Genomic DNA, 26,938 nt, shown 5'->3' on the forward strand with positions numbered 1-26,938 from the left:
TAATGCAAATATTGGCATGCTTGGCGGTGTCACATAATTCCCTTAAATTTTCTTCCCTCTTTGTCCCAATCTATTTGGCCTTCCATAATAAAAATGCCATAGATTGTGTTTTTTAAACAACAGACATTTATTTCTCACAGTTATGGAGGCTAAGAAATCCAAGATAAAAGCACTAGGAAGTTTGATGTTTGGCTGGGACCTGCTTCTTGGTTCATAGGTGGCCTTCTTCTTGTCATGTCTTCATGTGGTAGAAGGAGCACAAAAGAGATCCTGGTATCCCTTTTATAAGGGTATTAATCTCATTCATGAGGACTTTACCCTCATGACCTAATTACCTTCCAAAATCCCAACTCCTAATACTATCACATTGCAGAGTAGAATTTCAAGTTATAAATTTTGGAACATTCAGTCCATTGCACTCTTTTTCATTAATTTTTCTTTTTGCTCCTCTCACTAAATTATTTCCAGAGACTTGGCTTTAATTTTGTTGATTCTTCCTTCTTCATGATTTAGTTTGCTATTGAGCTTCTCTAGGGAATTTTTCAGTTCAGTTATTGTGTTCCTTAGCTCTATGATTTCTGTTTGGTACTTTTTAATATTTCCTATCTCTTTGTTGAAATTTTCACTTTGTTCATGCATGGTTCTCTTGATATCAGGGAGCATTTTTATGAGAGTTATTTTTAAGTTTGTTACAGAAATCATATAACTGTTTCATTTGAGTTGGTTTCTGAAGATTTATTTTGTTTCCTTGTTTGGAACATCTTTGCCTGATTCTTTATTTTTCTTGACTCTCTGGCTTGATGCCTGCCCATTAGATAAGGCAGGTGCTTCTCCCAATCTTTATGGACTGGGCTTGTACAGGAAAAGACCACCATCAATCATCCTGGTCAGAGATTCTCATGGCCTCTACTAGTGCTTTCCCTGCCCAGAGAGAAGTAGACAGCTGTGGGTTTTGTTCACTCACTCTGTGCTGAGCTGGATGCAGGGAGTGATGGTGTCTACCAGCCCTATCTGCCATCTTCAGTATCCTCTGGGCAGCTACACTGTGCTGAATCCATCAGAGCTTTAAGGTTGGAGAGACAAATGGTAGTTCTTTAACAAGCCCCAGAGAAACTGGAGCACTGGACTCATGGATTAATACTTTCCCTTACCAGGAGAAAGCTGAGAGCTGAGATTTTAATCTGCTCACTCAGTGCTGAGTTGATGGGGAGATCAATGGTATCCATCAGCCCAAGCTGCCATCTTCATTCCCTCCCAGGCCACAAGACTATGTCAGACTTGTCAGAACTCTAAGACTGGCAACATAGTAGTTGGTCATCTAGGGAGTCCCCTGGAAAAGTTGGAGCATCACAGGAAAAGCAAACCAACCTTTTTTCTCCCCTAGGTAAACTGGGGAGCCAGGGGAACCCTTCTTGATTATATGGCACTGCAATGGGTGCAGGATCTCCAGCAAGAGGATGTTCCAAATCTACCTACTGGCATTGCTGAGTCTAGTTTTGCATTCTTCCAGGGTACAGAGCCTTTCAATTAGTTTCTAATTTCTGAAAAATGGAATTTGTGAATTGTTGCTGAATCGGCATGCTTATGGGGAATAGAAGAGTCAAGGGTCCTGCTCCACTATCTTGTTGATGTCACTCTTGAAAGGATTACTTTCATGGCATTAAGAAGACTGGAGACAAAGGAGAACATTGCTAGAGGAAGAAGGGTAATGAGATAAGTCAGTTATTAGCTATTGCACCAGTTCCGAGATAGATAATAATGTATGGACAAGGGTCCCAGAAGCATACAAGAGAAGTAGACAGATTATGTATTTGGGAGGTAAAATCAACAGGGCTATTGATTAATTGGATCTAAAGTCTGAGGGTAAGGGAGGGATCAATAATTATGTCAGTATTTTAAAGTAATAATAAAACAGTTGTTGTAACTCATAACATCAGTCGTGATTCTTGATAATAATTTTTACCTATGCCCTATGCACGTAGGTCATATGCAGCTATAATATATAGCTATCTGTGTTTCCAAATCAGTTTGATTTGGCTCTAACATCAAAGTTGTTTCATTGCTTAAATAACTCTGCCTTGATTAGTATCACTAATAGCTATGTGTAAATAAAAGTGTTTTAAATTTTGATTAGGACAGTTAAACTTTGCTAATTCAGACTGATTGTATAATTGACTTAAAAGGTTTGAGTTATGTAACAATTTCAATAAAATAAGTTTTATTACTTTGAAGTTCATAGAGCATATCAGACTAGATTAAGAAATACTGTCAAGTAGAAACCCCATAGGATTTACTTTAATGGTTGATTAAATGGTTTTAATTAACGTGGCAAGTGTTTGTAATTTCTGTTTCTAAAATGGTTAAAATTTTTATTATCTCGTAGATTAAACACATCCGTATCAGTTTTATTTACATTATTTCCTTGGTAAGACCCTTTTAAAACTAGATAAAACAAATGTTATCTCACGTTCAAGTTACTTCTATTTGTTATTAATGGAGTACCAATAGCAAAGCTTTACATTTTTATAACATCTCAGTCAATATTTAAATGTGTTCAAGGTATGCAACATGAAATAAATTTACTTATGAACTGAAGCATGAACAGACTGCAAAGCATCTGTAATCTTGCTTATTGCTCTGTGTTATTATCCTGAGTAAGCATTTGTGATTTAACATCCATCCATGACACTCTGGCAATCTTACTTGTTATCTCGCAAGCAGGCCCTTCACAGTTTTTGACAGACATCTAGATAAACTATGAAACAATATTTGTGAATCTGACCTTAGGAAAATGAAGCTACTTCTCTTCTTCAATGATGGAACTCTGCAGCCTTTGTGTTCTCCCATCTGAAACAAAATATCTATGGACCTAGGATTTCAAAACCAAGGGTGTATTCAGGGTTGACTTGGGGGTGGCCAGTCCCACAAAGCTTTTCTCTTTTTCACCAGAAAAGACTCTTAACTTCCTCTCAGGCTAAAGCAGGTTTAGATTTGAAGGTCATAAAGGCTTAGCTGATAGTTTATTATTATTATTTCTACCTTTATACAGCTTCTATTCTGGTAAAGGAGATAGATGCCAAATAATAAACATAATATACAAGTAAAGTATATATAATAGTTTAATAAATTTTATAGAGAAAAGCAATGAAGAAAGATACTCCTTTGTAGGGAGTGGGGAGTGGGATATTCCATTTTTATTTCCAAATTAAAATAAGTAATTAGATTTTCAATGTTATTTTGTCATATTAAAAATTGCAATCAACTGCACAGCTACAATCATAACTACTGTTCCTGAGTGTCTACAGTATGGCAGATGTGGGCTAGATATTATATTTATTTATCATACTAATACAAATATAGCACACTTACTATGCTACAAATAATATGTTAAGCACTTTATGCAATGTTACCTCGCCTATCTTACCACACAGAAAGTGAAATAGAATATCCCTATTTTTCAGAGGAAAAAGTTAAGACTCTGTGAGGTTAGGAAAGTTGTCCAAGGTGACACAGTCCTTAGGGACAAAATAGGAAATCATAATTGAAGTCAGTCTGGCTTTGAAGCTCACAGCTGTTTCCTAGAACCTGTATCACCGTCAAAAGTGTGATTCTATCCTTTGTTTCTCCTGCCTCAACACCAGGAGCTATTTGTCTTTTTCTGAACGTATTTTATTAATGCTATCATTTATTCTTTTTTTTTTTTTTTTTTTTTTGAGACAGAGTTTCACTCTTGTAGCCCAGGCTGGAGTGCAATGGCACAATCTTGGCTCACTGCAACCTCTGCCTCCTGGGTTCAAGCGATTCTCCTGCCTCAGCCTCCTGAGTAGTTGGGATTACAGGCGCCCGCCATGACATCCGGCTAATTTTTTGTATTTTTTTAGTAGAGACGGGATTTCACCATGTTGGCCAGGTTGGTCTTGAACTCCTGACCTCAGGTGATCCACCCACCTCGGCCTCCCAAAGTGCTGGGATTACAGGTGTGAGCCACTGCGCCCAGCCTCATTTATTATTTCATTCAACAAAAATGCATTGTGCTGAGTTGATTTTCAAAGATGGAGAAGTTATAGGCCCTTCCATGAAGGATCCTGTGGTCTGATGGGGAAATAGACATACAAAAATTTACTTTTGTAAAATCCAATTCATTTTATAATAGAGGTATGAATGCCATGGCAAAGCTCTGAAGCCCTTCTGATGTAATCTCTGAATTTAGAGAAGTCAAATGCCTCAAGCTTTTTGTGGTTGTTACCTTCACTCAGAAATGCATTTTAGATCATGACCAATATGCATGCACACACACATACAAGTGCAGCAAAATTGTTATTAAAAACGCTTATGCCTAGTACAGACATTGTATTCTGATATTTTCAAGTTTTTATTCTTCTCTTGAAAGAAAACCTGCCTCGGCCTCCCAAAGTGCTGGGATTACAGGTGTGAGCCACCAAATCTGTTCACATACCAATCTGTCTCTCTTCCAAGGCCTGTGGATACATACAGTGCCATTCTGCAAATTAACAAATGATGTCCCCTCTGGACAGACGAATTACAAAATGACATCCCTTCCTCCCACCTGTTGAAGTCCAGCCCCAGGGCATGCAACTCAGTCAGCATAACTCCTGACTGAAGTTTACCCCCATTTGCCCCTCTGGTATCTGGGTGAAGTGTACAAATTGCACAGCTGACTGCATATAGCAGCCCTTCCCTTTTTTCCCTCCCTTGCTGCCTCTCCCCTTCATTTCTCTCTTTATCCTCTCCCTTTCCCTCCCCTCCCATTTTTTCTCCTCTCCTTTTTTCCCTTTTCTTTAATTCTGTTATACTGGATGATAATAAAATAAAATAATTGAGGAGTTTAGGAAACAAGATTTTTATATTCCTTTTTGGAATTGTAGTAAAATATACAAAACATAAAATTTACCATTTTAACAATTTTTAAGTATACAACTTGTGGCATGAAGTACATTCACATTGTTGTGCAATCACCACTACCATCCATCTGCAGAGCTTTTTCATCTTTCCTAAATGAAACTCTGTTCCTATAAAACACTACCCCTTCATTCCCTCCTCCAAGTCCCCAGAAGCCACCATTCTACTTTCCGTCTTTATGAATTTGACTGCTCTAGGTACCTCGTATAAGTGGACTCATACCATAGTTGTCCTTTTGTGAGTAGCTTATTTTACTTAGAATAATATCTCCGAGGTTCATGCATGTTGTAGGGTGTGTCAGAATTTCCTTACTTTTTAATGCTAATATTCCCTTCTATGTATATACCAAATTTTGCTTATCCATTCATCCATTGGTGGACTTTTGGGTTGCTTCTACCTTTTAGCTATTGTGAATAGTGCTGTTATGAACACTGGTGTACAGATATTTGTTTGAATCCCTGCTTTCAGTTCTTTTGGGCATATACACAGAAGTGCAATTGCTGAATCATATGGTACTTTCATGTTCTTGACCTTTGCTTTTTATGAATTGAAGTTTCTTGAAAAGTCTAGCTTTGATACGTTTTCCTTCAACAAAGACATAATACACATGTAATTCCTGTACTGAGTAATCCAAATTGAGTTCACTCTTCTCCACCTTTAACTTTGCCCTGTTGCATTCCTGACTGTTAATGATACCTTGGAAGATTCCATAACTTCCCAGACACTTAGTTACTAAAGACTAGTACAGTCTAATTAAAACACTCTAGGCTCTCCTCCTCTCCACTGTTTCCCTGAACCCTGGATCAGGTTTGACTGAGGAACAAGGAGGGGTGGGAGGATAGGGTCTGCTCTCCCATCAACCTCCCTTCCTGCCCCCAGGTTCTAGCTCCCCTGTGGGTAGGAAGAAAGGAAGGGACAAGTGCTTACTTATTACCCCCTTTTAAAAGAATTCACATAGAGAGTCCCTTTGTTAGATGCAACCTAGTCTCTCTATTTAGACACTCCTGCAATTGATTAGATCACTACTTGGACCTTGTTACTGAGATTTCTTATGATTTGTCCGTTTTGTCTGTTGCTCCTAATTGATTGGACTGAAGCTGTTGGTTTTGCACACAGCCTGTATAAGTTGATTTTTACATTTATCTTTTCAGAAGGCTAACTCTTGGTTTCATTGATTTCTCTAACCTGGACATATTGGCATATACATATCTTTCCAAGTTCATTCCTGAGTCATTTTTCTGAATTCTCCATTGTCAAAATGCCTTTGGTAACCCATATGCTGATAGCTTCTTAGGTCAGGAAATTTTGTGAATCCAATATATTTGGATTTTCCTTCTTTAAATTTTAGAATTTAAGCTTACTTCCCAGTTCTGGAAGTACAGCTCATTTCCAGATCTTAGTGCTGAGCACCAGAGTGAATTTTGGCATAGATTCTGACTTTATGCTACACTGTATGCTACACATACAGTGCTATCAAATAGAGGTAGGCCAGGTTACAGGGAAACCAAACAGCATACAGTGCTATGAAATGGTGCACCTACTGCAACTCCTTCTTCATGAACTGTTATAAGAGTAAGAGTTTAAACAATTATTTAGGCCAGGTGCGGTGGCTCACACCTATAATTCCAGCACTTTGGGAGGCTGAGGTGGGTGGATCATCTGAGCTCAGGAGTTCGAGACCAGCCTGACCAACATGGAGAAACCCCGTCTCTACTAAAAATACAAAATTAGCCGGGCGTAGTGCTGCATGCCTATAATCCCAGCTACTTGGGAGGCTGAGGCAGGAGAATCACTTGAACCCAGGAGGCGGAGGTTTCAGTGAGCCAAGATCGCGCCATTGCACTCCAGCCTGGGCAACAAGAGCGAAACTCTGTCTTAAATAATAATAATAATAATTTAAAATGTTTTATGGAAATTAAAAATTATAACAAGAAAATTAAAACCATTTGAAAGTACTTTATCCAAAAAGAAATACTATTGCCATTTTAAACACATACATAGGTATTATATATATATTTGAGATACCGTAATATATGGTTTCATGTCCTGATTTTTTAACCTAGTATGAATATTTCTCTATGTCATTAAGAATTATTTGAAGGCATGATCTTTAATGGACATATTAAATTGTGTTGTATTTATCATGATTCAGTTAATAATTATCTAGGTTTAGAGCATTTATAATAATAGCAATATCCAATAATTATTCAGTACTTACTATGTGCTAGTCAGTGCTTTAATGCCTTACATATATTTCCTCTTCATTTAATTCTCATAACACTTTTGAGATCCCCATTTTGCAGGCAAGAAAACTGAGGTATAGAGAGGTTAACAACCAAAGTCTCACCTTGCGATTGGAAGTTGGTCAAGTTGTAATTGTTACTCTAGCTAGTCTGGCTCTCTAATTTGTAATCTAACCACTGGCTCTCTACTTTGTAATCTTAACCACTATCCTACCTGACTCACTGTATGATAAGTATCTTCTTGGGGAAAAAAAATCTTTATCTGCATTTCTGATAGTTTCTACTGGGAGGGTTCCTAGAGGTGAAATAACTAGGTCGAGAGCTAGGAAAACTTTTAAACTTAAAGGCATGTTGTCCAGTTGCCCTCCAGAATGTTCCCACCAGTCCATGTTCACACCAATAGTGGGAAGAGCCTGCCTGTGCACTCCCACCGCTGTTGTTTAATTCCTCTTTAATAACCCTGAATTTGGGATCTTCCTGAATGGTTAAGAGAATCCAAGGATCCAGGGCTCCCTTAAGAACATAGAAAGTCCAATTTTATACAAATGTGGAGTCATTTGTATATATACCTCAGATAATACTACATCTTTGTTTTATTGGTCCATACATAAACGAACTTCCTTATCTTATCATCAGTAGATGTGAGAAATTGCTAACATGAGTGTGTACGACGACTGATTGTGTCAAGTCTGAAGGTCATTACACCTGTCGAGGCTGCCTTTCAAAATGTAGCCCTATTTTGACAACTGCTGTCATGGGTGGTATTTATGGTATTTTCTCAAGCTTTTAGGCAGTTGGAAGTAATTTTACATTAATGATCTTATATTACTCTTTGGTTTAAAAAATGGCATTGTAAAAATGCATCCTGCTCACATATTTTTTCCCTTGATTAGCGTTATAGAATGTACATAAAATGTTACACTGCATCTGCATTTCCAGGTAATAGTAACTTTTAGTAACCCTGGTTTTTATCGTTCGAAGATAATTTCTTTACTACTCCCAGTGAAAAACTGATATTATCAGGCAGAAATCCCCTAGACTTTTTAATAGAAAAGTTGAAAAAAATTCCAAGGAAATATCACAGGGAAAAAGGATTTTGGTAATTTCTACAGTGATTTGGACAAGTTCAATGAGGAATTGAAAATATTCCTTGTGACTGTGTGAAAATTAATCACTCACCCTTCACTGGCACTTTGGATTAGTATTTCGTCCTCACTATTTTCTGAAAGAATCTTGATTGAATCAGAGGTTTCACTGTGCTTCATTAAGGTTCTGTGTCTGTGCAGGTACCGCTTGGACTTTGAATTGCTTTAGATTCTAAGTATATAAATCAGGCAAGAAGCTGGTAACCTGGAGCAAATAACAAATGCACACTTACTGTGAACTATCTGGAAGCCTGTGTTGGTTGTGATTCCTTTTCTTTTTATTTTTAAGCGTGACTGTTGGTAGAAGCTTTGTCTTGAACACAATGCTGTTGTTAATAGCGAATGAAATGACTGGAACTGTGCTGGGGGAAAAAAAGTAGGCTGAAGGTTTATAGCAGACCACTGCAAACCAAATGTTGCAATTATCTGCAGCTGAAAACAAGTAGCTTTTAATGTGTCCATTTGGCCAAGAAGAGGGAGGAGAATTACAGACTATTGCTCTTTCCTCTCTCATTCTCATACTCTGTCTTCTTCTTTATGTAGTTTATCATCCACAATTTCAGGATGTATTTTCCTTCTTTAAGCTGTTTTATCTGTAGGCTTATGAGGTCACTCATGTGTGAATTCCTTTGTTAGTCATCTCACCTTTTGCCTTGATGATAGAAAATTGATCAGGCCTAAAGTACAAGTTCAATAGACATCCCCCTTGGTCCTTTGTCTAGGAGAATAGCTACCATTGAAGGCCATGAGCAGGTTGCTATTAATATGACAGCCTGCTCTATCTCCCACTGTAATTTATAATGAAATACCTAATCTCCATTATTTTGATCCAAGCAGGCGATCCCATGAAAAAGTCTTTTCATCCAGTTCCCAATGGCTGTTACATGAGAAATGGCAAACCAATAATTTTTGTCAAGTTTTTTAAGCCAACAGAAATGCTTTTCCACTGCTACAGTTTCAAAAGGCACAGATAAAGCTCATTCACTGAGATGAATGAAAAAGCCATCTGGGGTTTTTCTTTTTGACTTCCTTTCCTTTTCTCCATCCTAGTAATCAAATTTGAGCAAAATCAAATGGGGCTTTCTATGAAAGTACCTTTTGTTGATCTGAACGAGCTGGTAATTTACAAAATACCCTTCCTTTGTGAGGAAGGCTAAAGAAAAAAAGAATCAGTAGCTTTTAAAGCTGGGCCTTAGTGGGACTCTAAATGCAATGAAAGCAGTCTGTGTTGAGAGACTGAAATGCATTTCAAAGCCAGGCCTGATTCGGGGTACAAGGAAGAACAGACCTATGTGCATTTTGTAGGAAGAAAACTGTGAATGGAAAAAGGAGAAGGGGAGAGAAACGGGGGAAATCTGGATAATACATTAAAGTAACCATAATTTTGGAGATGCATTCATCTTATTGAAAATATGTACGTAACCAGTGATACCGAAGTCGGATATTTGCTCAATCAGGATGCTCAACAATTTGAGCCTTTAAAGTTTGGAGCTGCATGGGTTTGTGGAGAAAGTCGGCTCGTGATGTGTGTGATGTTTTTCTCCAACTTTTTCTTTTTCTTCTATGCTTTGGGATCTTGTGGGAAGTACCTCAAGAAAACCTGAAGATGCTAATTTTTAGACAACTAATACTTCCTATTTTCCCTCCTTTTGCCTGCTAGATTTCCTCATGGTTGTGATTCCTCTTCACTCTTTTGAATTTGGAAGGATGGCATACACATCTGAAAAATAGTAAGTAATGTGTGATTTATTTTTCAATTACTGTTACTAATTGTAATAAAGCTGAAATTTGATTACTGGAGGAGTTTGAAATCATCATGCATGCCTTGAAGGAAAATGGGTTTTGTGAAACATTTGCATTATTTGGTGTGAATTACCTTTGGTGTGATTTAACTGTTTATCACACAATTACTGTTGTGATAATGAATGTGTTATTCACTATTGCTAAATTTACCCAGTATATTCTGTAATAACTAAGTATTTGTGCCATATAATATATGCATTCTTAGTGCAACAGTTTAAGAAACAATGCAAAAATTGCAGGGAACTGTCTTTGGAGATGCTAAGTTTTCTTGTTTTATATACCACACAATCTTCCTCACACATTTATAGTTTTAATTCATAGTAATAATGTTTTCTAGAGACCTTTCTATTTATGCCTGAAATGAAATTCTCATATAAATTATGTGAGCTTATTTCTTCAAAATGAATATCCAGAGAGAGGCAAGAATTATTCTGACATTATTAAACTGCATTTTTAATGCAGTTTAAGTGACATTTCTTATAATTTAATCAAGCATTATAATTAAAATAACAAAGCTTTGATTAGAGACTTTTTTTTTCATTTGGGAAAGTGAAAAGTTCATTTTTACCTTCCTAAAAATAAGACAGACATATGCTATCTGAAGACATGATACCTTGGATTAGAGTACATGCCACAAGTATTTTTTAAAACATAGATGCAGCATTGGCATTTCTGAGTAACTACAGTGCATATTTTAAATATATAAATGCCTTAGAATGAAGCAATATGGGGCAGAATTAGTTCTGAAATCTCTGAGGTAGCTTGAACAGTATTTGCATTAGGGCTGGCACTGCTAAAGCAAGCAGATCCTGGGAATTTCATGTAGGCAAACATGAGATCCTTGTTTCTGGAGACAAGAAAAAAAAAGATTAATTAAAACCAAGTCCTATGTTGTTTAACCCTTAAAATAACAGTCAGTATTTATAGGGATGCTGAAATGGGGAAAAGGATTCAGATTATTTCACAGAGGTCTCTGCGAGGGCCAAACCCTTTCCCTTCTAACTATTCCTCACATCGAATATAAATTCCTGGAAGTTTGTATTTAAGATGACGTCTGTTTTCTGAGCTTTTGCAGCTGCAGGTCTCTTTTCCAACTTCCTACATTTATCTTTGCCTGTGTTTTTGAGCCATTTGCTGCCTCCTAATGCCTAACTTTAAAATAGCATGCATGGCAGCCTGCCAAGACGGTGGCAGTGGCATATTGGTTTGTATTGGTGTTGAAGTTGCAAAGTTTTTGTTACCGATAATTTATAACAATTGCAACAAAAGAGATTATCAAAACCCGAGGGGATAGGAGACAGGAAGGAGAACAAAACTGCTGCACTTCTTGATGGATCAAAGTGTGATTCTTCCTGCAATAGCGAGTTGGGTTGTTGTGTTGTCTACATGGGTATGATGCTCTAGATGACCTGCACATTGTCACTGTAGTGATTGCCTGTAATGTTAGATTGACAGAAAAGTGCAATATAAAAGAGGGTTTGTCTAGGGGATGTAATTAATTATACATATGATGCAAAATTTTTTTCTCAGGCTATTGACTTCTTTTATATAAATTAAGATTGTTGTTAAATTAAGGTTTTTTTTTTTTTTTTTTTAGTTCTTGAAAGAAAAAGTTTATTATTTAAGAGTGTCGTTGTTGTTTTGTTGTTAATACAAATTAGTACCTGGGAAATAATGCTTTGTCTTTTGCTGGCTAGTTTCATATCTACTCAATCTTGTAAGCCTTTTGCAAAAGTTCTCTTCTATAATTCCTTTAAGCACTTTTGGTAAAAGCTGGGGGTACTTCGTTTTGTCGCAGTTGTAAAGGATCTCTGTGAAGACAGCGTTAAGAAACAGGTAATTAGGCCCTGAAATCAGCTAAGGTTCCTGCTTACTCCACTTATCAAGATTAGCGGTTCTGAAACTCTTGTTAGTATAGCAATCTACTAACAAGAATAATGTTGTACCTATGCTGAGAGGAAGAGAAATCCTCTTGCTCTCAGCATAAGTACAAACATTAAGCAACTGCATTTTGGGGAGCTGGAGAGGTAATTATTTTCAATTAGCCTTTGGGACAAAGGAAACCGTCTCACACATTTTGCTTGTGGACTTCATATTCTCAAGTATAACAACTGATATGTTACACACTTCACTCTTTGCTAAGCCAATACAAAAATAAAAACAAACCAACAAAAAATCACTCCTGGAAAGTTTAGAAATATAGATCCACAAAGGTGATCCACAGAGACACCACAAAGTATCTTTAAAACTTCTCAGAGGAAAGGAAATGAGTGACACATTTGTAAAGACTGAAGCATCTGAGATTGACTTTAAAGTTCTATTTTTCTTCTAGTAAAATTAAAACTTTATTGAGCTTCTCGTCAGAAACTTGGAGCTGCTTTTCCATTACAGTGATGCTATTGAGGTTTCAATGCTTTCAGGGCCTACTAATAGAACCCAAAAGTGGAGAGAAGGCTCATGAAGCACCGCTCTTCTCTGGATGGAGGTCCTGGTCCCTGCTTAAGCTCTGCCAGTAGAAGCTATTACCTAAAGGTGTTCTTTTATTATCTTAGGCAGGACATGCCCCTGCTTTGACATATCAGCAGGCAGTAACAGATTGCTTGACTAATCAGTCTGCATTCTCTAGGGTTCAGGATGCAGGAAAGTAGTTGGCCTGGTGTTCACTCCAACTTTACATTGATGCCTCTGGACTCATTACCGGCATCTTTGCACTTTGCTTTCCTCAGGTGTCAAAAGAGAATGTTATGTGTCCTTTGCTTGTTTCTTGTCTTGCCTTCTACAGGCTGGGCAGACATACTGGGATGTACTTTTTGGCATGAATATGATGGTCGGTCTAGTTAGCTTAGCTGGTGATGACATAATGGCAAAGAAGACCAACAGACACTGATGTCACTCCTAACCCCAGATGGGAGCCAACTTTAGATGACAAAGGGGATGAAGCAGGTATTGATCAATGCCCAAACCATTCCAATTATTAGTCAGACAACTCTCAGCATGGCAGCAGCAGCATCCAAAAGGGAGAAAAATGTGCCAACTCCCATCATGTCTTCAAATGCAGAATGGGGAAACTGGGAGCATAGTAAACAGAAAAAAATCTATTTTGTAGCACCACCTTTTACAAGCATTTTGATGCATGCTGTAATACAATACAGTAGATATAAATAATGTCCAGATAATTAAGAATAGAGAAAATATAAATTGGTTTGAGACTTAGGAGGGAAAAGAACAACATACATATGAAGGCCATATATTTTTAACGTTTTTTTGAGTCATAGACTTGGCTCAAGGTTTTTAACAGCTAAAACAAAAGTGGAAAAAAGTCATCTAGAGGATAACTTCCATATAGTGAGCATTTTATACAGCCCGAATGGTTACAACAACCTCAAAGCCACTTATTGTTACCGTTGTTTTCTGGTGGAAAAAATGCAGAATCAGAAGGATTCAGTTACCAGCCGCTGGTTACGCAGGCAACACATGCCTCTGTGGGATTAAATCCAGGTCTCTCTGACTCTCATAGCCTTGACTGCCTTTGGGTAACATAGAAGTCAGCTGTCCCTGCAGTCTCCTCCACGTGCATACCCTCTTTCCGTGACTGCCCAAGGCCAATCCAGAATCACGGATGTCAGCTCTACACTGAAGTTCTCTAATGGAATCCACTTTCATAGAGAGTGAGTGGGCAATGTGGACTTTACTGAGTGGGAAGTTGAGGGGATGAACTTTGCATATCCCACATCAAGCCACTTAAACATTCCTGTTAAACATTCTGGTCTGTAAAGTACCTTTTTCGTTTGCTAAAATTGGAGGTTCCTCTCTTTGATCCTTCTTTCATGCTCCACCCAGCTTCCCTAGCTGCTTTCTTCTATTCCTGTGTCCCCCTTTCTCTCCTCATTAAAACATAATAGGGAGCCATATGGTTTTGCCCCAGCTTCTAAAAACTAAGCTTGCATGTCTAAACCCAGTGCCATGCTTAGCACACCTCCAAAACCCTTCTCTGTGACAGTTCTTACTCTACTTAGTAGAAATGAGGATGACGTAGCAATTGAAATAATCCCATTGCACGTTTTACTTCAGGGAAAAACATACCAGTCTCTTGGCTTTTGAGGCATTTAGTTTTGGAAAAATATTCTTCAGTGGGACGTTAAGGAGGATTCAGGGGACAGTGTCTCCATCAACAGGCATTACAGAAAATTTCATTACTCTTTTGCTTGTAGCTACCCCCTGATGACTGAGTCCAAGGTGCCACAGGAAAAAAAAAAAAAACTTAGAACATGTTAGTGTATATGGGGCCACAACCACATAATTAAAGGATAGCTTTAAATAGAAAATTAAGGATGGAGGGAGGGATGAAGCTAAGAATGAGAAAAGAAATAAAGGGAACTTACCTAGTAATAGAACACGAGAAATGAATTTGAGTCTCCCTTTCAGTGTGTCCCACAATTTCATTGTATACTGTATAGAAAACTATATCCTATATTTACATATTAAATAGACAATGTCAAGTTTATTTAAACGATAATAGAATGCTGATGCCTAGAAAGGGAAAGGCAGGCCAGAGACTCTGAAGAATGGAAACCAAGCCTTCTTCAGGCTTAATATCACCCAGGTTTAGATTGTGATAATACACATTAAATCATGTGATTAGGTAGTAGGGCTTTTATCAGTTCGGTTTCTATGTACTCTTTTAAAAATTTTGAAAAGAGAAGAATCAACTGTAATAGCTCAACATATACAATTTGTTTTGAGTTTGGGGCATGGAGTGAAAATTGAGAAACATTTTATAAAACCTTTTGAAACCCCAGGCTTAGAAAGCTTTCAGAGTCATTTGTCTGCACTCAGGTGGATTTTCTGCATAGGTTTCCTTTTAAGTTACTCAGGTCTTTACTTCTGCTTTTTTGGCTTAAACAGTTGATATTATATGGTTGTTGGAGCCTTGAACTTGATTGTCAGCCAGTGTAGCTCTTTTAGGAGAGGATGTCAAATCTGCCAGCCATCCAAAATTGCCTACATTGTCATTGCTCTAATGAGTATGTCCTTCAAGAGTCAATGGAAGGCTAAAAATAAATGCCTTTTGATGTTTACAGACTCCTTATAAAGTGCTCTGAAACCAATATGAAAGATTATAATTTTTTCTCTCTCACTAAGACAGTTACAAGAACAGATTTAATAATATGTATTTTCTTTTGTCAGGAGAACAAGCTCTCTTAACAAATATATGCTAGATCATTAGGGGTGAAAAGACATGGGCACAGTGACAAAAGTGTACTATGAAAAAAAAATAGCTATTTCCAATTTCATTTGTAAACTGAAGGGCAAAGTACTTCATCCAGTGGAATCATTTAGTATCTTAATAGTTCAAAGGTAGAAGCCAGCAGGACACAGTGAAATAAACATGTGAGCACAAGAAAAATTGTGCTTCTCCAGCCTTGCTGTGCAGAAAGTTTGAAATTTGGGTACAGGTCGTGCAGGAATTTCAGGATTTCTCTCATCTGCTGGGTAAGTCAGCTCTGGAAATATGGCTCCTTAAGCACACAGTAGAGCCCTTTCCTGTCAAGCTTACTTGGATGACTCCTCTGAAACAACTTGGTTTTAAAAAAAAATGGGGCTACTAGGCATGGCCAAAGAGAAAGTCACTTGTATTTCCTCAAAGAAAATTCAAAACTAGACAAGCTACTTTTCTGGCCTCAAAAAAAAAAAAAAAAAAAAAAAGGCCGTGTGCAGTGGCTCATGCCTGTAATCCCAGTACTTTGGGAGGCCAAGGCGGGTGGATCACAAGGTCAGGAGATTGAGACCATCCTGGCTAACACGGTGAAACCGTTTCTATTAAAAAAAAAAACCAAATAATTAGCTGGGTGTGGTGGTGGGCGCCTGTAGTCCCAGCTACCTGGGAGGCTGAGGCAGGAGAATGACGTGAATCCGGGAGGCAGAGCTTGCAGTGAGCCGAGATCATGCTGCTGCACTCCAGCCTGGGCAACACAGCGAGACTCCGTCTCAAAAAAAAAAAAAAAAAAAAAAAAAAAAAAGTCCAGCTGCCTACAAGGACAGCATAATCCATCATCAATGCAGTGAAAATAGAAAAACAAATTTAAAAAGAAATTTTCCCCTTTCTATCCTTCATTCCTCTACCCTCCCTTCTAAAATTAAAAATATATTTCTTCTATTTTTTTTTTATTTTTTATTTTGGAAAGGAAAGTAAAGAGGAATGAAGGATAGAAAGGGGAAAATTCCAGGCATAAGATACATTTTAGAACAATTCACTTGTGTTTTGAATCCTTTCTCTAATTTGCTCAAAGTGTTTATTAATGGCCACTTTATACCTAGAGAGTCAAAAAGGTTTAAAGGCTTTACAACATAAAGTCACACAATTTTAGAGCTTCTTTTTGCCTCTAGCAGTGGGATTGCCAGCTGGGAGGGCGAGCAGTACAAGGAAAGGGTGACCCTTCTGGAGAGCGTGTCAGGATCTCCAGGTTTCTGTTTGTGGTTTCAGAAAGTCTGTGAGCCTATCTACTATAATACTATAATGTCATATTTGAAAAATGCAAAAGTACCATTGTTTTGGGTGCGGAATTGGTGGGTTCTTGGTCTCACTGACTTCAAGAATGAAGCCGCGGACGCTCGCAGTGAGTGTTACAGTTCTTAAAGGCGGCGTGTCCGGAGTTTGTTCCTTCTGATGTTCAGATGTGTTTGGAGTTTCTTCCTTCTGGTGGGTTCATGGTCTCGCTGGCTCAGGAGTGAAGCTGCAGACCTTCGCGTGAGTGTTACAGCTCTTAAGGCAGCACGTCTGGAGTTGTTCATTCCTCCCAGTGGGTTCGTAGTCTCACTGGCTTCAGGAGTGAAGCTGTGGACCTTTGCGGTGAGTGTTACAGCTCATAAAGGCAGTGTGGACCCAAAGAGTGAGCAGCAGCAAGATTTATTGCGAAGAGCAAAAGCACAAGGCTTCCACACTGTGGAAGGCGACCCAAGCAGGTTGCAGCTGCTGGTTTGGGCAGCCTGCTTTTATTCCCTTATCTGGCACCACCCACATCCTGCTGATTGGTCCATTTTACAGAGAGCCGATTGGTCTGTTTTACAGAGAGCTGATTGGTCCATTTTGACAGGGTGTTGATTGGTGTGTTTACAATCCCTGAGCTAGACACAAAAGTTCTCCACGTCCGGACTACATTAGCTAGATAGAGAGTGTCCATGGGTGTATTTACAAACACTGAGCTAGACACAGAGTGCTGATTGGTGTATTTACAATCCCTTAGCTAGACTTAAAGATTCTCCCAGTCCCCACCAGACTCAGGAGCCCAGCTGGATTCACCCAGTGGATCCCTCACAGGGGCTGCAGGTGGAGCTGCAGGTGGAGCTGCCTGCCAGTCCCACACTTTGCGTCTGCACTCCTCAGCCCTTGGGCGGTTGATGGGACTGGGCGCAGTGGAGCAGGGAGCGGCACTTGTAGGGGAGGCTCTGGCTGCACAGCAGCCCACGTCAGTGGGGGGAGGCTCAGGCATGGCAGGCCACAGGTCCCGAGCCATGCCACGCGGGGAGGCAGCTAAGGCCGGGGGAGAAATTGAGCACAGCAGCTGCTGGCCCAGGTGCTAAGCCCCTCCCTGCCCGGGGCTTGTGAGCCAGCCAGCTGCTTGGAGTGGGGGGACCGCAGAGCTCACGCCCACCCGGAACTCACGCTGGCCCGCAAGCGCCGCGCGCAGCCCCGGTTCCTGCCCGCGCCTCTCCCTCCACACCTCCCAGCAAGCTGAGGGAGCCGGCTCCGGCCTTGGCCAGCCCAGAAAGGGGCTCCCACAGTGCAGCAGCAGGCTGAAGGCTTCCTCAAACGCTGCCAGAGTGGGTGCCAAGGCCAAGGAGGCGCGGAGAGCGAGTGAGGGCTGCCAGCACCCTGTCACCTCTCAGTTTCAATGATTTGAACATCACAAACTAACGTTCCACAGAATTGTCTTGGTCAGATCCTAATGGGAATATGCAGAGGGTAAGTCATTCTCAGCCTGCAATAGCTTCTGGATAAAGTGTGGGCAGCTCTTTCAGAATGTAGTTGGTGCTGGGGGAAGCATAAGACTTTACATGTTTATTAAAAATAGGGTATAGGTTAAAATAGGGTAAGAAAAACTGGTTTAGATCAGAATGAATAACAGACTTGGGGAGTGTTCTTTATTCAGTAAGTATTTGTAGAGCACTCTATTGAGTATGACACTCAGATGAGGATGTCTTACATTTACATGTAAAGAACTGGACATGTAAATGTGAGCTCAGATGAATCCTGGGCTCAAGGCAGATTTAGAACCATCTTTCAACAGAAATGTCAAGCAAGTCAAGGACCAATAAAGGCCCTTTGTTGTGTTTAGCAACAAAGAGATTGTGATTGATTTCAGCGAAAGCAGTTTGGGTAGAGGAACAACATGCAAGCCAGTTTGAAGTGGGTTAAGAAGAGAGTGGGAGGTCAGACAGGGGAGATTGCACCCATGGACAACCCTTTCAGGCAGATATGCTAGGAAGGGGAAGAAAGGGAAAGGGTCAAAGCTGAAGTAGAACACAGGAATCAAGGGAGAGTTTTTAAGATGGGAGATAATTGAAAGCAAAGTATTTCTATACATATGACACAGCGAAGTAACTATTGTTTAGTGTTCTTTCATGAGGTGGTCAGTCAGGTGTGGCCACTAGAGAGCACAAAGGGGAGGTGAAGGAAAACGAAGTTTATTGTATTCAGATGTCCTAGAGAGACAGGGTCACGTGGTGGGAGGATGGAGGGACGGAGGGAGGAGCACCAAGGGAGCCAGCTCAACCAAGCAAGCAAGGATCAGAGAGACCAAGAGAACAAGTGCCTTGATCAGGGGTCAGTACGGGGTACACAAGCAAAAGGCAGGAGGGGATTTCATTGGTGCATTTGAATGTCACTAGGTCAAAATCAGAGGATGGCAACAACCAGAACTTGGGGCAGTGGCCAGCCTTATCACACTGGTGTACCTGGCTACCTGGGCAGGGTGCTCATAGACCATTTGTTGGCATTGAGGCAGCAGGAAATACGATGTTTTAAAATTTACAAAACAACTATTAATTCACTGAGTGTTTATTGAAAACACACTACGAGGTGAAATACGAGATAAGAAATGCATAGTTCTTGCTCTCATGGAGTTTGCAAACTAGGTCACTCAATAAGGTCAATCACTAATATAATAGGCTTGAGATAATATGGCTCATCCAAGTAGTATGAACAGTGCTATATGGATTAAAGTGTTGAAGGTTATTTATTCATGTTGGATTAGGAAAGATATTTCTGAGAAAGTGGACCTTAAAGAATGAAATATTCCAACAGTAGGAGGTGGGAAATCAAAGCACAAAGGATGTGGAAGGCCATAGGGTATGATGTTGGATGTTGGGTTATTATACCATAGTCTCAAAAGATATTTTTTTTGGAAGGGAGAGTAGAGGAAAGAGGAATAAAGGACAGAAAGGGGAAAATTCAAGGCATAAGATAAATTTTAGAACAATTCACTTGTGTTTTGAATCCTTTTGCTAATTTGCTCAAAGTGTTTAGTTAATTCAACAGTTATGTACTTAGTGCTTACTATGCGTAAGGCAGACGCATAATCTCAAGGAGCTCCCAGCCAAGTGTATGTTAAGTTCTATAAGACAAGGAAATACCCAGTGATAAGAGATTACATAGGAGACATACGTGTGTGGAGGGAACAGAAAACTCAAAGAGTAGCCTTTCCAGAAGAGAGAGAGAAATAGTTTCAAATATTACCCATGGAATAGAGTAAAAGGATACCTGAAATGGGTCTGTGGGCTTTTGCAACATGGAGGAAACTGCAGGAGCAGTTTCATTGAAGAAATTGGGAGCAAAATTATAACTGTTATAGACTGAATATTGATTAGGAAGTGAGGGATTGAGGACAGGGAAAGAGGAGAAATACTTTTAGAGGTAAATATATGGCAGCTGCTGAGGGCAAAGTAAGAAAGAATAAGATAAAAAAGATCCTATGATTTTAAATCTCAGTGAATAATGGCATCACTTGGCAAAACAGGGAAATCAGGACAAATACTTAATTTTAAGGGAGCTTTGGTTTCTCCTTGATTAAGTTTGAAATATGGATAGACATTTAGTCCATGATTGAAAAAAAAGGATACAAAAAATTTAAAGAAATGTTAGGTCTAGATACAGCTTATTTAGATGTGCATAAGCTAGGTAGTTGCAGCCAGGGTCCTAGAAGATAGAACAGTGGAGGAGAGAGAAGAGTATAAAGCACAGGAGAAAAGGATGAGAAAGAAGGTTAAAGGTCAGAGGAACTGACTGACAAGAAGTGGTCAGAAAAGCAAAGGAAACCATCAGAGGGAGTTGTTATGGCAGTTAAGGAGAGTTTTGTTTTAATGGTTGTGTAATCTTCAATGGTTAGACTGTTTGCTCTAAAGCAGAATAAAGACCAAGAAAATGCCATTGATTGTGACAGCTAATAATTGTTGATAATCTTGACAAGCATTTGTTCCCAAATGGGGACAGGCATTGTAGTAGATTGATTAAAACAACAGACACTGGATTGCAAGGAGTTAAGGCGTGAATGGGATTTCTTTTTTATTACCGCAGAGAAGGTGATAGAAAACCTTAATATGAGGTTGTCGCAAGGTTGAGAGAAGACCTGAGCATATTTCTATGAATAACTGTATGTGTAGAGGAATAAAGTCATTGGAGGTGACACTTGAAAGGAAAAGGTAGAAAAATGATGAAGCAAAGTTGGGGAGACAGTATGATTTAGCTTCTATCTCAGTGTTTCTGTCAGAATTTAATGAAGTCATGGATATAACATATCTGACATATAATAGGTTTTCAGTAAGTATGACCTATTGGTATTTTGGAGTCAGATGAAATGAGGAAGGCATTTATCAAGTGCCTACTCTGTGCCAAACTTGTGCTGTTTCACTTTCCCTCCACAACAACTCTCTGAGCTGGGTGTTGTCAGCCACATGTTGTACCTGATAAAACCAGAGGTGAGGCCTTGCTTTGGGTCACAACCAAGTAACTGCAGAGTTTGGATTTGAACGTAAGTCCCTCAGAGACTAAAGATACCACTAGGCCTTACAATTTTATGAATAATTTTGGTTTCATACAAGAGTAAAGGAAACAAGGGAAGTAATTTGAAGAAGCTTTTACCGAACAGGTTGTGTGTTCTTTGTGAAAGAGAAGGTGAGATATTTGCTGAGAGTGAGGAAGTCCGGGTAGGAGAGGAGACTGAGGAGCGTGAAGAAGACTTGAAGTAGCAAATGTAGGGAGTTTGGGCATGATTAAGAAAGAAAACAAGTGGAGGTAGCATGGACTTTCAGTGAACCTTGTTTTATAAGGATTTCTCAAAATAAAGTCTCTGATACTGCAACAGGGTCTTTCAAGTCAGGGATCAGCAAACTTTTTTCTGTAAAGTGCCAGACAGTAAATGCAGGTATTTTAGACTTTGTAGGCCACGTGGTCTACGTTGCAACTGCTCAACTTAGCTGTTGTAGCATAAAAGCAGCTATAAGGTAATATGTAAATAAATGAGTGAGGCTGTGTTCCAATAAAACTTTATTAATGTTAAAAAACTACTAATGTTAGAACATTTGAATATTCATATTTCTTGAAATGTTCTTCTTTTGATTTTTTTCCAAGAACTTAAAATGTAAAACCATTTCTAGCTCAAAGACAGTACAAAAACAGGCAGTGAGCCAGATTTGGCTGTGTTTGTTAAATTACACATTCCTGGGTTTCACTCTAGAAGGATCCAATCAGAATAATTGAGGGCAGAGCCCAGAAATCTGCATTTAAAAAAGGGCTCTTGCATTATTTTTTTAATCTACTCTAAGACTATTGCTTAAAGACAGAACTGTAAGTGAAGAGTGATTGTACATGGTTCCTTGAAAAATGCAGAGTCTCTAGGTCTCAAAATCACTGAATTTGCAACACTTGGCAGCACAGGACTAGAAGCCATGGAAGGGCCACAGTGGTCTGGAACTTGGCATGGAAGGAATGGCAGAAGATGCATGGGTGAAAGATTCTGTATTTGTGGCTAGTGCTTCACTGAATGACCATCCGGAGGGCCCAGACTTGGCAGGAAGGCAAAGGAAGACAGAAGGAGGCTGATGTACTAAAAACAAAACCAGGAGGACTACAGGAATTTGGGCTCATGATGACAGTGAAAACCAGACTTGGAAGGTCAAGGGTCATGGGTAGAAGGACAGGCATTTGTGATTACAGCAGACATTCAGAACAGGTGTAAGCTCTGTTGATGTATAAGGTAGAGCCATATCAGGAATGGACCGGTGTCATGGAGGTGGGTGTTCTTGGAGGTGAGAGGTGGAGAACTCGTGAGGCCAGTGTCTAAGTAGGATTGGGTCAACACAACCGGATTGAGTGCCTAAGATATTCAAGATGCAGATAGCCATGTGAGTAACAGAAGATACTTGTCAGCATGGGTTAGGACAAGGGGGCCGGGAGAACGGTGTGTAATATTTTGACAGGTAGAGAACAGGAAAGGAGATAGAAAAAAGAAGAGATGTTCATTAGTCATCTGCTCTGTGCTTCTTTAGTGGGCCCTGACACATGTAAACTCGTTTGACCTTTAAACAAACTGAGGAGAGCATTATTACTTTTTAGAAGTAAAGAATCTGAAGTCTTTGCTTTTGTTTTTTTCCTGAACACAAATTCACTTGAAATTTAAAAGTAAAAATGTTTAAATAGGCCAGGCGCGGTGGCTCATGCCTCTAATCCCAGCACGCTGGGAGGCCGAGGCGAGCAGATCACGAGGTCAGGAGATCGAGACCATCCTGGCTAACATGGTGAAACCCCGTCTCTACTAAAAAAAATACAAAAAAATTAGCTGGGCATGGTGGTGGTCACCTGTAGTCCCAGCTACTTGGGAGGCTAAGTCAGGAGAATGACCTGAACCCAGGAGGCAGAGCTTGCAGTGAGCCGAGATCGCGCCACTGCACTCCAGCCTGGGTGACAGAGATATCATCTCAAAAAAAAAAAACAAACAAAAAAAAAACACAAAACAAAAACATTTTAACCTACTAGTGATATGTGAGAAAGTAAATATTATATATATTATTGTATATGACACACATTATATACATATATATTTTTACATTTTATACAAATATAAATTACATTGCTAAACAGATAATTGGAAATCTGTGCCATCGAAATAGGCAAACAAATGTGTTAAATATTTAATCATTCCTAATATTTTCAAGTCATAACATATGGAGACAAAATAATTGATATTTGTGGTTAATTATCAGAAAACTTATATGAGAATAAAGAAAGAAATGAAATAGACTAAATTTAACATAAAAAGAGACCTCATATACATTATCAATAATATTAATATTAGACTTTGAATATTGAAGTCTATTCTAAAAAATACATGATAACCGTTACTACAAATGACTCTAGTATATTATCCCAAATTTATAGATGATGAAACTGAGGCTCCGAGAGGACAAAAACTTGTCCAGCATCACAGATCTGGGATATGAATTCAGATCAATCTGTGAAAAGATCATATTCTTTTCACTACTCCATTTGTGAAGTCCCAGTACTGTGATAAAATGTCTTTTAACTTGATTTCAACATCTTCTGAAAATGATAAAAGGAACTGGCAGATTCTCAAAAGTTTATTATAAAACTCAGTTGGGCTATGCAGGTGTTAAGAAAAAGTCCAAGACATTCCTCTATAACTTTACATTCAGATGTTAAATTGTGCAAAATTTCTAAAATCCTTGAAGGAAGCCTTAAAACTGAAACAGGTAGAAGAAAGTCAGAAAGCTGAGTAGACGTTTAAGGCAGTGAGGAAGAAAGTTGCATGTCAACTTCATTTATGCTGGATGTATATGGTGGATTTGTTGGAAAAACGAGATGAAATTAAACATCATCAGGGAAGCAGCACACAGGAATATTGGCCACCCATATCCTATGTTTCAGGTTGTTTTAAGCTATCAGAAAGAAGTCTTACAAAGTCATAAATTCCTTATTGTTTTGAAATGACTTTACCCAGGATAAATGAAACTCAACAACTGTGTTTCAGGAAACCTAATCCTTGATTATCTCTGGCTGGAATGTGCCTTCCCATTTCCCTAATGTCTCACCTCTGCCCACAACATAATGAGTTCCACTTTTCTTGCTAAAACTCTCTTGTCTTTTGACTTTACCCATTCCTATCTTTGGATTGTCATTAACACATCCTCCCATTTTCATCTTGCTTTGCCCTTTGTGGGGAGATGTATCTTTATGTACTCTTTGCTCTCGTAAATCTTGTACAACAGTACACCTCGATTCTAGTTTTTTGTTTTTTATATTATCCAAGACCTTTTACAACTTCCTTCAACTCACTCTTGGAACTTTAGTTTTTATTCTTTGTTTTCCCTGGTGCTTATTAGGACATTATTGTCCGCATTCTCCAGAATGGTCTTTCTGTCCTTCTCCTCCCTGTTTTTCTTTATTCCTTCATGCCACCTTCTTTTCTATCTTTCTCATATTTGTGCCTTCAGATCCCCATTTTTCTCTCTTTTAAAACTGGAGGCCGAATAAGCTTCTTCCTATGATATTCTTTTTCCATAGCTTTCTTCTGAAATTCTTTTTTATCTCTGAACCTTAATTCTCTTTTATTCTTATTAAATATCCTCCCCAAAAGTCCATTAATTTTTCTTCATCCTTCAACTAAAAAGCTTCCCTTCAATCTATTCCAAACGCATCAGATATTTGATTCACTTCCTCACCTCTGACTTTATTCTTGACCTTTTCCCAACTACTTTCTTACTATCCTCTACACTGAAATTGTACTTACCAAAGTTGTTCTAATGACTTCCTCTGGAACAAATTGGATGTTCTTTCATCTGGGATCCTATCTTTCCTGGAAATAACTCTATCCATGGACTGGTAGATCATCTTTGAGATACTATTGAAGCAAGATGGGATTCTTCTAAAAAAAAGAAAAAAACTAACAAAATATCTTCTAAAGTGTGCACCATTTTGTTTATTTTTTATGGATGTCAGAGATAACTTGCTATTTACATTTTCAATGGCTATCTTTAAAAACATATTATGGTTTTAAACATAGTTTGAGTTGGTTTGAATGGTCAGTAAATGGTTTTCTGAATTAGGGCAGGATCCTTTTCCCTTAAGGTCAGACTTCTGAGTCAGTGTTATAACCCTCACCACACAAACACACTGAATTCCTGTTAAGTTAATTTGCAAGTTGTCACCACAGTTGGCCAATCTAAATAAATTACTTTTTGAAAATAATTTTCTTAGTCATCTTCATTCTTTTAAACAAACTTCCAACCTACACAAACTCAAATTCAGTCAAAAATTAGAATTTTAAATATTTCTGAATTAACCTTGAAAGAATAAAAATTTCCTTCAAAAATTCCTATTAATGATAAAAATTACATTAGCCTTTATTTGGTTCCATAAATGTATTTTGTACTCTTGTGACTGTTCTTGACAAATTTTAATCATCATTATGAACAATTAGAGTAAAAAGTTACAGTGATGGGGAAAATGATTTAGAAAGTATAAAGGTTGTGGTTCTGTAACAAAAGGCTTAGAATTTCAAGTTCAGTTCAGTCTGCCATGGTCTATTTTTCCTGCTAAGTGTGAGGAGGTGTAGCCTTAGACTTCTCTGATTTCTTCGTGCAGGTTTATGTCACTAGCTATTAACATTATTTAAATATAGCTTTCTTAATTCCTGAGAACAGTGCTGAAAATAGTGTTTTGACTAATAAAATGGAGAAGACAAAGAATCCAAAGACAAAGGCAAGGTATGCACTGACTGATGTATGTCATTTTAATAACATAATTACTTGATAAGCACTTACATGATTTAGTTACTGATCTTCAACCTTTCAGAGCTAGAGAATGAGTTGGTGATGTATTACACCCAGAGACTGCCAAAAATGAGCAGTAATGCTGTATTCTGTGGTATTTTAGGAGACATATTCCTGAGTTGTATCATTAAGTAGCCTATCATATAAAGCCGGACAGTTTAGTGAAAACATCTCACAGCAGAACCAGGTTGCTTTTTTGACTCAGTGATTTCCTCAGTTTCTCCAGGCTGGACACATTTTAGAGCAGTAAAAAAAAATATTGCACTGTCTGTTCTTCTGATTTATGAGTAACTGGGAATAATTCAGAAGTGCAGTCTATTCAACATTCTACCAGGATTATGCAACTAAGAACGTTCTCCAGAACATCTAGTCCAGGCACTGTCACTATGTTGAACTTAGACTCATCTGAAAGAGGAGTGTTTTTTATGCACAGGAAGAGAAAACACTGATGATGTTTCTGAGGACTAAACATATCAGTCTATTTGCAGCAAGATGCTATGGTTTGAGCAAATGACTGAGTGTGATCCTGTCCAACTTCTCTTACACAGGAGAGGTCAGGTTAAGATGACCATTGCAAGTAATCTCTATGAGGTAAATGTCAACATCCATTTGTCAATTAACTTGTATTTATTGAGTACTTATTGGATGCAGACACTCTGTCAGGTGCCCGGGACGAAACAGGGAGCAAGAAATTGTCCTTAGTCTGTTAGAGGCTAGAGGTAATTAAGATTATAGGTAATTCCTGGTTTTATTGACAATTACAATGTAGTGTTGCAGTAGTTTTGAGTGGAGGATGCAATAAGAACACACAGGAAAGACATTCAGCCTGGTCTGGAGGTGGATGGGGATGGTTCAGAAGAGGTTCTTGGAAGAAGTAGTGCTCAACCAGATTCTGAATAATGAACAGTGTTGGCCAGGTAAAGAGATGGCAGAGCAGGAAGAATATTCTAGGAAGTGAGAACAATGTGCAGAATTCTGAAGGTG

At 38.7% G+C, this 26,938-nt stretch overlaps 1 long non-coding RNA gene across 3 annotated transcripts in view; it reads left to right on the plus strand.

The window, feature by feature from the left end:
* SOX2-OT (SOX2 overlapping transcript) overlaps window positions 1–26,938 on the plus strand; it is a 685,549-nt gene that overhangs the window by 108,866 nt on the left and 549,745 nt on the right. For 2 of the 3 annotated variants that reach the window (NR_075091.1, NR_075092.1), the window contains exon 3: window positions 9,969–10,038. This is a non-coding gene — a long non-coding RNA (SOX2 overlapping transcript). Of the gene's footprint in view, window positions 1–9,598; window positions 9,723–9,968; window positions 10,039–26,938 lie in introns of those variants that run through there. The other variant, NR_075093.1, reaches the window with a different exon arrangement.

Source organism: Homo sapiens, chromosome 3 (genome assembly GCF_000001405.40).
Source record: "Homo sapiens chromosome 3, GRCh38.p14 Primary Assembly".
NCBI lineage: Eukaryota > Metazoa > Chordata > Mammalia > Primates > Hominidae > Homo > Homo sapiens.